Source organism: Homo sapiens, chromosome 10 (assembly GCF_000001405.40).
Source record: "Homo sapiens chromosome 10, GRCh38.p14 Primary Assembly".
Classification (NCBI taxonomy): Eukaryota; Metazoa; Chordata; class Mammalia; order Primates; family Hominidae; genus Homo; species Homo sapiens.
The window spans coordinates 66,605,468-66,620,410 of record NC_000010.11 but is presented as its reverse complement, the minus strand read 5'-3'; the positions used below and the strand labels follow the sequence as shown (position 1 = coordinate 66,620,410).

General features: G+C 36.5%; 1 protein-coding gene and 1 non-coding gene across 9 annotated transcripts in view; both read left to right on the top strand.

The window, feature by feature from the left end:
* CTNNA3 (catenin alpha 3) overlaps nucleotides 1-14,943 on the top strand; it is a 1,851,072-nt gene that overhangs the window by 1,143,184 nt on the left and 692,945 nt on the right. The window lies entirely within an intron of this gene.
* LOC124902584 (small nucleolar RNA U13) lies at nucleotides 5,073-5,174 on the top strand. The gene has a single exon (XR_007062417.1). It is a non-coding gene; the product is annotated as a small nucleolar RNA U13 (small nucleolar RNA).

Sequence of the window (14,943 nt, the reverse complement as noted above, 5' to 3'; positions counted from 1 at the left end):
TTCTAATTCGGTGACTTGCTTATATCGTTTTCCAATTTTCCGATTTTTGTTAGGTTGTATTTTGTAATTAATTTGCTTAGGTTTGTTAAAAATATCTCTGTTGCCCATGTCTTTTGAAATATTTTTTAAATAATTTTTCAGTCACAGAAGATTTGAAGAACTTTAAGGTAAACATATGATTTATCTTTTAATTATTTTAATATATAGTTATGGAGCACCTACTGGGTGTCCTGGTTTGTGGTTTTGTACCTCGTTAAGACATTCTATCAACAAATTTGTCACATATTTCCCACATTATGTTGTTAAAAGAGTAAAGTATTATTATTCAACATACAGATATTTATTCCCTCTGAAATATATTTTTATGTCTAACATGAGGTAGAGATCATTTCATTTAGTAGTGTTGACATTTGGGCCACCATCATATATTAAATAGTTGATCCTTTCTCAATTATTGTGAAATTCTACCATTGTTTCACACACATCCCATAAGGACTTATAAATATTTCCATTGTCTAATATATATTTGTATACACATGTTCATATATACTTATAAACATAAATACACGTACACATGTACAAGTTTATATAAACATTATATTATGTTTGCACTTGGTAATTCACCAGTGTTTTTTTCACATATGGCCATATGGACAGCTTCTTTTTTTTTATTTTTTACTTTTTATGTTTTTATTATTATTATACTTTAAGTTTTAGGGTACATGTGCACAATGTGCAGGTTAGTTACATATGTATAAATGTGCCATGCTGGTGTGCTGCACCCATTAACTCGTCATTTAGCATTAGGTATATCTCCTAATGCTATCCCTCCCCCCTCCCCCCACCCTACAACAGTCCCCAGAGTGTGATGTTCCCCTTCCTGTGTCCATGTGTTGTCATTGTTCAATTCCCACCTGTGAGTGAGAAAATGCGGTGTTTGTTTTTTTTGTCCTTGCGACAGTTTGCTGAGAATGATGGTTTCCAGCTTCATCCACGTCCCTACAAAGGACATGAACTCATCATTTTTTATGGCTGCATAGTATTCCATGGTGTATATGTGCCACATTTTCTTAATCCAGTCTATCGTTGTTGGACATTTGGGTTTGTTCCAAGTCTTTGCTATTGTGAATAGTGCTGCAATAAACATACGTGTGCATGTGTCTTTATAGCAGCATGATTTATAGTCCTTTGGGTATATACCCAGTAATGGGATGGCTGGGTCAAATGGTATTTCTAGTTCTAGATCCCTGAGGAATCACCACACTGACTTCCACAATGGTTGAACTAGTTTACAGTCCCACCAACAGTGTAAAAGTGTTCCTATTTCTCCACATCCTCTCCAGCACCTGTTGTTTCCTGACATTTTAATGATTGCCATTCTAACTGGTGTGAGATGGTATCTCATTGTGGTTTTTATTTGCATTTCTCTGATGGCCAGTGATGATGAGCATTTTTTCATGTGTCTGTTGGCTGCATAAATGTCTTCTTTTGGGAAGTGTCTGTTCATATCCTTCGCCCACTTTTTGATGGGGTTGTTTGTTTTTTTCTTGTAAATGTGTTTGAGTTCATTGTAGATTCTGGATATTAGCCCTTTGTCAGATGAGTAGGTTGTGAAAATTTTCTCCCATTTTGTAGGTTGCCTGTTCACTCTGATGGTAGTTTCTTTTGCTGTGCAGAAGCTCTTTAGTTTAATTAGATCCCATTTGTCAATTTTGGCTTTTGTTGCCATTGCTTTAGGTGTTTTAGACATGAAGTCCTTGCCCATGCCTATGTCCTGAATAGTATTGCCTAGGTTTTCTTCTAGGGTTTTTATGGTTTTAGGTCTAACGTTTAAGTCTTTAATCCTTCTTGAATTAATTTTTGTAGAAGGTGTAAGGAAGGGATCCAGTTTCAGCTTTCTACCTATGGCTAGCCTGTTTTCCCAGCACCATTTATTAAAAGGGAATCCTTTCCCCATTTCTTGTTTTTCTCAGGTTTGTCAAAGATCAGATAGTTATAGATATGCAGCGTTATTTCTGAGGGCTCTGTTCTGTTCCATTGATCTATATCTCTGTTTTGGTACCAGTACCTTGCTGTTTTGGTTACTGTAGCCTTGTAGTATAGTTTGAAGTCAGGTAGCGTGATGCCTCCAGCTTTGTTCTTTTGGCTTAGGATTGACTTGGCGATGCGGGCTCTTTTTTGGTTCCATATGAACTTTAAAGTAGTTTTTTCCAATTCTGTGAAGAAAGTCATTGGTAGCTTGATGGGGATGGCATTGAATCTATAAATTACCTTGGGCAGTATGCCATTTTCACAATATTGATTCTTCCTATCCATGAGCATGGAATGTTCTTCCATTTGTTTGTATCCTTTTTTATTTCCTTGAGCAGTGGTTTGTAGTTCTCCTTGAAGAGGTCCTTCACGTCCCTTGTAAGTTGGATTCCTAGTTATTTTATTCTCTTTGAAGCAATTGTGAATGGGAGTTCACTCATGATTTGGCTCTCTGTTTGTCTGTTATTGGTGTATAAGAATGCTTGTGATTTTTGTACATTGGTTTTATATCCTGAGACTTTGCTGAAGTTGCTTATCAGCTTAAGGAGATTTTGGGCTGAGACAGTGGGGTTTTCTAGATATACAATCATGTCATCTGCAAACAGGGACAGTTTGACTTCCTCTTTTCCTAACTGAATACCCTTTATTTCTTTCTCCTGCCTAATTGCCTTGGCCAGAACTTCCAACACTATGTTGAATAGGAGTGGTGAGAGAGGGCATCCCTGTCTTGTGCCAGTTTTCAAAGGGAATGCTTCCAGATTTTGCCCATTCAGTATGATATTGGCTGTGGGTTTGTCATAGATAGCTCTTATTATTTTGAGATACGTCCCATCAATACCTGATTTATTGAGAGTTTTTAGCATGAAGAGTTGTTGAATTTTGTCAAAGGCCTTTTCTGCATCTATTGAGACAATCATGTGGTTTTTGTCTTTGGTTCTGTTTATATGCTGGATTACATTTATTGATTTGCGTATATTGAACCAGCCTTGCATCCCAGGATGAAGCCCACTTGATCATGGTGGATAAGCTTTTTGATGTGCTGCTGGATTCAGTTTGGACAACTTCTTTTATGTTCACTTTATGAGGACTCAGCTTAAATATCATCTTCTCAGAGATCAATCTCCCTTCTCCCTAAATCACTCCTCCAGCTGTGACTTATTATGTTACCATATTTATTTATTTTAGAGTCTATATCACAACCTGAAGTTATATTTTATATTAATTTGTTACCTTTATTATATATAACACACTCACACAGAAAGTTCATGAAGTCAGTGATTTGATCTCCCTTATTCACCATTAATATCCCCTGTACCTAGCAGAAATAAAATATATATTGGATGTTCAATAAATATTTGTTCAGTGTATAAATCAGTGAGAAGGTTGCTAGAATGATAAATCATTCTATATTCATAGAGGGCAGGGATGATTTTGGCAACAGCTTCTTGATATTTTTCTTAATATGGTGTGTCTTATTTTTAATAAGATGAAAAAAAGACAGTATAATTACTTTGAGCTGTAACTGATAGAAAAAAATCCTTTACAGTGACTATTTTATGTATAGATACTGACCAAAGATGAGATCTGAATTCATAGGCTAGATTGATTTTAGAGTGAGTCAGTTAAGTCCTGGGTCAGGAGGAGCTAATAGGGTGGCCCTGAGTTTCTATTTGTTAAGTACAATTGAATTCACGTAGGTTTCAGTGAATTGAGTTGTTCTGGTTCTTACTGTGTACAAAGGACCACACTGTAAAGCTTTGCCCAGTTATAGGTATCACCCTTCAAAAAAGATTTGTCACTTGGAGCATATTTAGCAGAGATATTTGAAATAGTGACATGAGTTGAAACTATATCATATGAACACCTCAGAAAAGCAATAGGGAATTTTTAGCCAGGAAAAGACCTGGAGGAACACAATCACTCTCATTATATCTTTAAAGGACTATGATGTGAATGACTTGTTCTGAAGGGCCCCGAGGGGCAAAATACAACCTATGAGCAGATGTTAGAAGAATGCAAATTTTATCTCAATATAGAGAAGAGTTTTTTAACAGAGCTATCCTGACAGGAATTGGACTTTATTGAGAACACAGGATTTGGAGTTTCTCAACACTGCAGACATTTAACACAAGGAGAGTGACTAGTTGACCAAGGTATTTTGTGGGGGGCACAAACAAATCTTGGGTGAAAAGTGGGTCTAGAAGCCTTTTGAAACCCAATCCTTAGATCCTCTAATGGATCTGTCTGTTTTATGAAAGAGAGAAATGTGATCTGGATGATTGCTGGAGTACTACAGGTGTGTGAACAGTTATACTCAACCTGGTGGAAGGATAAAGCGATCTATAGGGCTTAATCCTTGCTCCACTTTAACAAGTGACTTGGAAGAATACTGAAAAAGTAAACATTTTATATTTGTGTAAGGCACAAAACTGAGAAAGGTAGAATGGTCTAATGTTTGAAAACTCATAAGCTGAAATTAAATAAGGGCAAATATAAAGTCAGGGCCTTAGCTTAAATACAACCTATTGCACGAGCATATAGTGAAACGATTGCACATCAAAAGCACATGGGTCATCAGGAGTTGAGAGGGACATTTGCTCTCTTGTTCAATGAATTTCAAACCTGGATCTATGAAAGCATTTTCATGGTCTATAGCAAAAGTAGCTCAGTGTAGTTAGCTTTTTTTCATATAGTGAAATTTATTCAACTTTTCATTCTCAGGTTTTATATTTACTACTTTATATTTATCAGAAATATTTGATTTATGAAATAATAAAGTAGATAATAGTTTTTTACATTTTTATTTTTGGCAACAAATAAATTATTTATCAATCAATAAAAAATATTTTTTTACTTTACTAATAAAAAAATAAAAATATACCCACCCTATGTCAGTTCCTTCTCCTTCCTGTGTCTCCTTCTTCTTTGAAAAATATTTGTGGCCTGAAAAGTCCAGAAAGTTAAAAGTACTAATTTAGGTGACTTAACAGTATAAGTCAGTAGCGTGATATGGGGACTGACTTATAGCATTGAAATAATTGATCTTTTTGTAGTGTAAGTTTGATCATTGGATTTTCATGCTCACGTGTGATACGTGCCTCCTTCAAACCTTGTTATGACACTAGCACATTATTCATATGACATGAAAAATAAAATAAAATGGTTATGATACTTAGCTTGTGAAATAGAAGGAAATTTTCAATATACTTGGCACAGGAATGTCCACATCAAGAATTTCATGCTGAGTCCTGGGCCCATAGTTTAAAGGATAGGCAGAAAAAGAATAAGTTGTTTTAAGCCATAGTGAGCTATCACCTCATTACTGGAAGTGTTTAAACAAAAGCAAAATAGGGTGTACCTTGACAAAAATATTGGAGAGAGAATTTCATTATTGAGAAGTAGAAGAATTAGATCCTCTTAAGTGTTCTTTCCATAAATAAGATTCACTAATTAACAAAAATCATGATGAAAACCTAGGGTATTTTCCCTGTGGTGAATACACATTCAATTAGGCAAACCCTCCTAAGTACTTAGATTTTCCAAAATCACAAGAGAGAAATGTGGTTCTAAAATATGTGGTTCTAAAATAAGTCAAGTTTTCCAATCACGGTCTAGTTTGAGTCACTATGTAGTATTGCTTTGTTATATCTATCTGTTGCTCTCACCAAGTAGTATCCAATAACCTGACAGGGCTAAAACAGCTTCCAGAGATACCTAATTTATTTTCAGTGATGTGGTTGGGTATAAAGAGATAATATTTTTATAAGTTGTTACTGAAAATCTGTAATTTCTAAAAGAGATATATATTGAGTGTGTTGATAAGTAGGGAAGAAAGTCAAGATTGCCCTAGAGAAGCATGTGAAATATAAAAAGAACAAAGTATTTGGGCTAGGGCATGCACTGGAGATCACTTGTATTCATATTTTAGCATGGAAAGCCATAAACTCCATGAGGATAGGAATTTTTGTTCCGCTGATATATCCTAAGAATAATGCTTGACACATAGTAGGTACTCAGTACATTTTTGCTGAGTGAATGATTATACCTCAATGACCTTTTTCAGATTATATTCATTGGCAGGTAAATGCTGGAAGCCATTACTATTCCCCTTCCTTCTTTGTTTTCTGGGAGTGTAGAAACTCCCAATTTCTAATCAAAATGATAAAAAGTCCCAGTATGACACTTTGTCTGTTGAAGTACAAGTCATGTGAAGTGACTGGCATTATCTCTCTCTGCATAGACAGGACTATTTTGTAAAAACAGCAACTTGTTCTGATTAAGTTATGATGTATTTAGCACACACTTCAGTAAGAGCATTAGACTATCTCTTTAAAATGGAAAGCTATGTGCTTATTTGTATGGGTTTTTTATTTGTTTTTCTGGTAGAGAAGTTGTCATATCTGCGAACTGAAAGCACTTAATTTTCTAAGTATCAAGCTTTGGGAAGCAAACATATTCTCTTTCATCTACTGTTGATGATGATGATGGATGTTTTGTTTGCAACTAAACAATATAGGACCCAAATATTCAATGTAAAATGACCATATTCTTTAAGAATCATGTAAAAGCCATATCAGGCCTTTTATAATTTATGCCTAATTTATTTCTTTTCACTTCAGGGAATGGCACAAAATGCTCTTAAGACTTTGGAAACAAACAGTCGCGTCATAATGTAAAAAAGACTTAAATGAGGTGATTTTATTTTTAAAAAGCTTATAATAATTGAGTGGTGTATCCTCAAGACTGACTAGGGTGATTTCAAATGTAAGTTTAGTACCAGTTTCTTTCTAGTGATGGTGTGGTATCTATGTGGGGAGAGAGTGCGTGGGTGCAGCTATGAGCACAGCTACTAAGACTGGAAATAAATGTCTGTGCCTTTGTCCTATCACTGCCCTGTATCTTGTTCCAATTACACAGCCACTTTCTTCCACCTACTCCAAGGAACTCTTCATTCAACAAATACTTACGGACCACCTACTGGGAGCATCCATGAAGCTAGGGTGAGGCAGGGGCAGGGAGTGGGGATTTAGGGGGTACTCAGTGGAGCAGTTCTGAGAAATAAGAATTTTAAGGCCTAAGTTTTATTAGAAGGAAAATCGGAGGTGGTGTGTCCTGGCAGAAGAAACAGAATTTGTGGAGGAGAAGTCATGGCCATCAAACTCAAGTGGGAAAGTGGGGTAAAAAATTAGATAATGACTTTAAAGTACATAGCCTAGAATTAGCATAGTTTCACATGCAGGCCAAGGCAAGAATCTCAGAATGAATTACAAACCAAAGTGTTTACAGCCTCATTTATAATCATGGTGTGTGCTGTGATATTAAGCACATTAACATAAAGGATCTGTGCTGGCCTGTACAATGTTCTTCTAGTCACGGAGGAAAATAAAGGTAGAGCCTTGCTGACATTAAGTTTATAATCAAAATTGAAAATTTATTATCCAGATAGAAAGGAAGTGGTGTTTGGGAGGAATCGGTGGAAATGGCATGAGAATTGGATTCATGTCAGGGGACACAGGGAGAGCCCACAGAAAAATGTCATTTTCCATGGGCCTTAAAGGAGAAGCAAGATTTGCACATTTGGGAAAATACGAAAAGGGCATTCTAGGCAACGGAGATGGAAAAACATGTAATAGAAATTGAAAAAAGTAAACAATTGAGTCTGTCTAAGCCACGTTGTTTCTTTACAGGAGGCACCCTTGGATTTTGGGTGGAACAATTATTTGTTGTGTGATACAGTCACAGTGGTGGGGATCAACCTTTTCTGGGGAGGCCAGAAAGCTCAGAATCAGCACTAAGACACAACTTCCACCTCCCCCAGTCCAGTCTTTCTAATAACCAAAAGTGCCTTCACACATTTCCATAAACCTCCCAGTAAAGTGATGTTGCCCCACTTAAGAACCAGTGGGAGGGCATAGTCTGTGGAAAGGTAAGTTGTAGCCCTTAGTGCCAAGTGAAGGGGTTTAGATCAGTTTCATAGATTTGGTTTAGTTACTACAGGTACTACAGGTTTTGAGTAGGAGAGTGACATCATCACAGCTGTGCTTTCGGAAGATTGATTTGAAAATTCTGTGTCAACTGAATGGGAAAAGGGAGAGGCATGACCTGCTAAAAGATAATTGAATATTACATGCAGAAGTCAGGATCTGAATAAGAGATGTAGGAATAAGAATTTTTAAGATGGGACAAATTGCAAATAGACAATATAAATTGATCAGAAACTGAAAACAAATTAGATGATTGTGATGATGGAGGTGAAAGGGAATGAATTTGAGGTTTATAGCCTAGTACCTGGGAAAATAGTGGTTATATTAGAAGAAATTGGAAACAAAATTAAGAAAGGGACACTTTAGGACAGAAATGAATATATTTAAGTTACTACCAGAAGATCCAGGTTGAGATGATAGAAAATAAAACTACAAGAACTTGAGATGTCACCACTAGATTATGGTGACCATTCATATAGATGTGATGATTAGAACCATAAATGTGGGATGAGATTGCTAAAGAGCAAAATAAAAATAAAAGAATCAAAGGCGTAACCTTAAGAAAACACATCTGGGAGAGAAAAGGAAGAGGAACCTGAAAAAGAACAATGAGCAAAGTAAGAGGAAAGTCAGGGAAGTGTGGCTGGAAGCCTAGCAAATGGGAGCATTTCAGCACAGTGATCAGCAAAGACAGATACTCCAGTGAAGTCCAGAGGGATGAGTACTGACAATTTGGAAATTAGGAAGTGAGCAGTCATCTTAACCAAAGAATAGTTTCAGCAGCATTGTGAGAAATGAGGAGAGGGCAGGGGCCAGAAGCTATATTCCTAGATTTTTTCCCCCTTAAATTGAAAAGTAAACCTAATTGTGGAAAAGAGAATCACTGGGAAGCTCCACCTTGCAGACTTTTTACCATAAAGTCCTACCATTCTTTTTACTATCAGTTATTTTTTTCTTTATTTGTGTGTTTATTAATTGGTATATCATAGTTATATATATTTTGGGGGTACATATGATATTTGGATACATAAACAATATGTAATAATCAAATCAGGGTAATTGGAATATCCAACACCTCAAATATTTATCCTTTTTTGTGTTGGAGACTCTACAATTCTTCACTTCTAGCTATTTGAAGCATATAATAAGTTATTGTCAATTATAATTTTCCTACTGTACTATCTAATACCTGAACTTACTTTTTCTATCTAACTATTTTTGTACCCATTAACCAACTTCTCTTCACTGCCCCTTATTCTCTTTCCGGCCTCTGGTAACCGCCATTCTACCTCCATGAGATCCACAGTTTTAGTGAATAAGAACATGCAATATTTGTCTTTCTGTGCCTAGCTTATTTTACTTAACATAGTGACCTCCAGTTCAATCTGTATTGCTGCAAAAGACAGGATTTCATTTTTTTGTGGCTGAATAATATTCCATTGTATGTGTGCATGTATATACACACACATATGCCACATTTTTTTATTTATTCATCTGTTAATGAACACTTAGGTTCATTAACAAAATATGGATTTTGGCTATTGTGAACAGTGCTGCAATAAACATGGGAGTACAGATACCTCTTTAACATATTGATTTCCTTTCTTTGGGGCTATATATCCAGCATTGGGATTGCTGGATCATATGGTACTTCTACTTTTAGTTTTTTGAGAAACCTCCATACAGTTTTCCATATTTACCGTATGACTTTATATTCCCACCAACAATGTATGAGCATTCCCCTTTCTCCACATCCTTGCTAGTGTTATTTTTTGTCCTTTTAATAATAGCTATTCTAACTGGCCTGAGATTGTATCTCATTGGGGTTTGATTTGAATTTCCTTGATGACTAGTTATGTTGAACATTCTTATGTCTTCTTTTGAGAAATGTTTATTCAGGTCTTTGGGACTTTTTTTTCCCCAACATGTCTAAATAAACTGTTATTGAAACACAGCCATGTGAGTTCCTTTATTTATTGTCTAGGGTTGCTTTCATACAACAAGGAAAGAGACCATCCACCTAACCTAAAATAGTTACTATCTGACCTTTTTAAAAAAACTTTTAAGTTCAGGGGTACATGTGCGGGTTTGTTACATAGGGTAAGCTCATGTCACGGGGCCTGAAGCATTGCTCCAGGAACATAGCCCCCCCATGGGTATTTTTACACAAAAACTGGAGGCTATTCAAAAGATACACATGAAGTCTATTCCTGGAGATTATTTTGTCACCCAGGTATTAAGCCTAGTACCCATTAGTTATTTTCCCTAATCCTCTTCCTCCTCCCATCCTCTACTCTTCAGCAGGCACCAGTGTCTATTGTTTCCCTCTATGTGTCCATCTGTGTTCCTCATTTAGCTTCCACTTATAAGTAAGAACATGAAGTATTTGGCTTTCTGTTCCATGTTAGTTTGCTAAGAATAATGGCCTCCAGCTCCATCCATGTTACTGCAAAGGACATGATCTCAATCTTTTTTATGGCTGCAGAGTATTCCATGGTGTATATGTACCACATTTTCTTTATGCAGTCTGCCAATTGATGGACATGTGAGTTGATTCCTTGTCTTTGCTATGGTGAATAGTGCTGCAATGAACATACACATACATGTGTCTTTATGATAGAATGACTTATATTCCTTTGGATATATACCCAGCACTAGGATTGCTGGGTCAAATGGTATTTCTGAATTTAGGTCTTTGAGGATTCACCATGCTGTTTTCCACATGGTTGAAATAATTTACACTCCCACCAACAGTGTCTAAGTTCCTTTTTCTCTGCAACCTTGCTAGCATCTGTTATTTTTTGACTTTTTAGTAATAGCCATTCTGACTGGTGTGAGATAGCATTTGATTGTGGTTTTGATTTGTATTTCTCTAATGATAGGTGATGTTGAGCGTTTTGCATATTTTTTTGGCCACATGTATGTCTTCTTTAGAAAAGTGTTCATGTACCTTGCCCACTTTTTAATGGGGTTGCTTTTTCTTTTCTTGTAAGCTTGTATAAGTTTCTTATACATACTAGATAATAGACCTTTGGCTGGGTGCGATGGCTGACAACTGTAATCCCAGCACTTTGGGAGGCTGAGGAGGGCAGATTGCTTGAGGTCAGGAGTTCAAGATCAGCCTGGCCAAATGGTGAAACTTCATCTCTACTAAAAATACAAAAAAAATTTAGCCTGGCATGGTGGCACATACCTGTGGTCCCAGCTTCTTGGGAGGCTGAGGTGGGAGGATCACTTGAACCTGAGAGGTGGAGGTTACAGTGAGCTGAGATCACACCACTGCAGTCCAGCCTGGGCGACACAGTGAGACTCTGTCTCAAAAAAAGAAAAAAAAAGATAATAGACCTTTGTCAGATGCATAGTTTGCAGAATGTATCTCCCATTCTGTAAGTTTTCTGTTACACTCTGTTGAATGTTTCTTCTGTTGTGCGGAAGCTCTTTAGTTTAATTATATCCCAATTGTCAATTTTTTCTTTTGTTGTAATTGCTTTTAGTGTCTTTGTCATGAAATCTTTGCCCATTCCTGTGTCCAACATGGTATTGCCTAGGTTGTCTTCCAGGGTTTTTATTGGTTAGGGTTTTACATTTAAATGTTTAATCCATTTTGAATTAATTTTTGTGTATGGTGTAAGGAAGGGGTCCAGTTTCAACCTTCTGCGTATGGCTAGCCAGTTATCTCAGCACCATTTATTGAACAGGGAATCCTTTCCCATTGCTTGTTTTTTGTCAGTTTTTTTTTGAAGATCAGATGGTTGCAGGTGTGCAGCCTTATTTCTGGATACTCTATTCTATTCCATTGGTCTCTGTTTTTATTTTGGTGTGCTGTTTTTTTACTGTAGTGCTGTAGCATAGTTTGAAGCTAGTAGCATGTTGCCTCCAGCTTTACTCTTTTTACATAGGATTGTCTTGGCTATTCGGGCTCTTTTTGTTCCATATGAATTTTAAAATAGTTTTTTTTATAGTTGTGTGAAGAGTGTCATTGGTAGTTTAATAGGAATAGCATTGAATCTATAAATTGCTTTGGGCAGTATGGTCATTTTAAGAATTTTGATTCTTCCTATTCATGAGCATGGGACGTTTCGCCATTTGTTTGTGTCATCTCTGATTTCTTTGAGCAGTGTTTTGTAATTCTTATTGTAGAGACCTTTCACCTCCCCGATTACCTGTATTCCCAGATATTTTATTCTTTCTGTGGCAATTGTGGATGGGATTGCATTTCTGATTTGGCTCTTGACTTGACTGTTGTTGATGTATGGGAATGGTAGTGATTTGTGTACATTAATTTTGTATCCTGAGACTTTGCTGAAGTTTTTTTATTAGCTTAAGTTTTTGAGCTGAGACTGTGGGATTTTCTAGATATAGGATCATGTCATCTGCAAACAGGAATAACTTAACTTTCCCTCTTCCTGTTTACATGCCCTTTATTTATTTCTCTTCCCTGATTGCTCTGGCCAGGACTTCCAATACTATGTTAGGTAAGGAATGGTGAGACAGAGCATCCTTATCTTGTGCTGGTTTTCAAGGAAGTGCTTCCAGCTTTTGCCCATTCAGTTTAATGTTGACTGTGTGTTTGTCATAGATGACTGTTATTATTTTGAAGTATGTTTTCTCAATACCTAGTTTATTGAGCATGTTTGACATAAAAGTGATACTGAATTTTATTGAAAGCCTTTTCTGCATCTATTGAGATAATCATGTGGTTTTTGTCTTTAATTTGCTTATATGATAAATCACATGTATTGATTTGAATCAACCTTGCATCCCAGGCATGAAGCCTCCTTGATCATCATGCATTTGCTTTTTGATGTGCTGCTGGATTCAGTTTGCAGGTATTTTGTTGAGGATTTCTACCTCAAAATTCATCAAAGACATTGGCCTGAAGTTTCTTTTCTTTCTTGCTTTTTTTTTTTTTTTTTTTTTTTTGGTTGTCTCTGCCTGGTTTTGGTTTCAGGATGATGGTAGCCTCATAGAATGAGTTAGAAGGAGTCCATTCTCCTCAATATTTTGGAATAGTTTCAGGAGGAATGATACCAGCTCTTCTTTGGACATCTGGTAAAATGAGGTCGTTAATCCATCTGATCCTGCATTTTCTTCGATTGGTGGGCTATTTATTACTGATTCAATTTCAGAGCTCATTATTAGTCTGTTCATGGATTCAGTTCCTTCGTGGCTCTGTCTTGGCAGGGTGTCTGTGTCCAGGAATTTATCCACATCTTTTATATTTGCTAGTTTATGTGCGTAGAGGTGGTCATAGTGTTTTCTGATGATTATTTGTATTTCTGTGGGGTCAGCAGTAATATCCCCTTTGTCATTTTTAATTGTGTTTATTTGGATGTTCTCTCCTTTCTTCTTTGATAGTCTAGCTAGATGTCTATCTAACTTATTAATTTTTTCAAAAAACCAACTCCTGGATTCGTTGATCTTTCGAATGCTTTTTGGTGTCTCAGTCTCCTTCAATTCAGCTCTAATTTGGATTGATTTGTTTCTTTTCTTCTGCTAGCTTTGTGTTTGGTTTTCTGTTGGTTCCCTACTTCTTTTAGTTGTGATGTTAGGTTGTTAACTTGAGATCTTTCTAACTTTTTGATGTGGACATTTAGTGCTATAAATTGTCCTCTTAATACTGTCTTAGCTGTGTCCCAGAGATGCTGGCGTGAGGTATCTTTGTTCTCATTAGTTTCAAAGAACTTGTTGATTTCTGCCTTAATTTCATTATTTACCCAAAAGCCATTTGGGAGTAGGTTATTCATGTAATGAATTTCCATGGATTATATGGTTTTGAGTGAATTTCTTAGGCTTGATTTCTAATTTGATTGCGATGTAGTTTGAGAGAGTGATTGTTATGATTTCAGTTACTTTGCATTTGCTGAGGAGTGTGTTATGTCTGATTGTATGATTTATTTCAGGGTATGTGCCATGTGGTGATGAGAAGAATGTATTCTCTCTTGCTTTTAGTGGAGAGTTCTGTAGATGTCTCTCAGGTCCGTTTGATCCAGTGCTGAGTTCAGGTCCTGAAAATCTTTGTTAATTTTCTGCCTCAATGATCTAATACTGTCAGTGAGGTATTGAAGTCTCCCAGTATTATTGTGTGGGAGCCTAAGATTCTGAAGGTCTCAGAGAACTTTCTTTTGTGAATCTGGACGCCTCTGTGTTGGGTGCATATATATTCAGGATAGTGAGGTCTTCTTGTTGTATTTAACCCTTTACTGTTATATAATGTCCTTCTTTGTCTTTTTTGATCTTTGGTTTAAAGTCTGTTTTATCTGAAATTAGGATTGCAACCTCCCTTTTTTCTGTTTTGCATTTATTTGGTAAATTTTTCTCCATTCCTTTATTTTGAGCCTATGGGTGTCATTGCATGTGAAATCAGTCTTGGTTCTTTATTCAGCTTGCCCCTCTGTGTTTAATTGGGGCATTTAGCCCATTTACATTTAAGGTTAGTATTGGTATGTGTGGATTCGATCCTGTCATCATGATGTTAGGTGGTTAGCGTGCAAACTTGTTTGTGTGGTTGCTTTATAGTGTCACTGGTCTGTATATTTAAAAGTGTGTTTTTGTAGTGGCTGGTAACAGTCTTTCCACATTTAGTGCTTCCTTCAGAAGCTCTTGTAAGGCAGGTCTGGTGGCAACACATTCCATCAGTATTTGCTTGTGTGAAAAGGATCTTATTTCTACCTCAATTATGAAGCTTAGTTTGGCTGGATATGAAACTCTGGGTTGAGATTTCCTTTCTATAAGAATGTCGAATATTGGCCCCCAGTCTCTTCTGGCTTGTAGGGTTTCTGCTGAAAGGTCCACTGTTAGTCTGATGGGCTTCCCTTTGTAGGTTACCTGGCCTTTCTCTCTAGCAGCTTTAACATTTTTTCTTTCATTTTGACCTTGAGGAATCTGATGATTGTATGTCTTGGAGCGATCTTCTTGTGAAGTATCT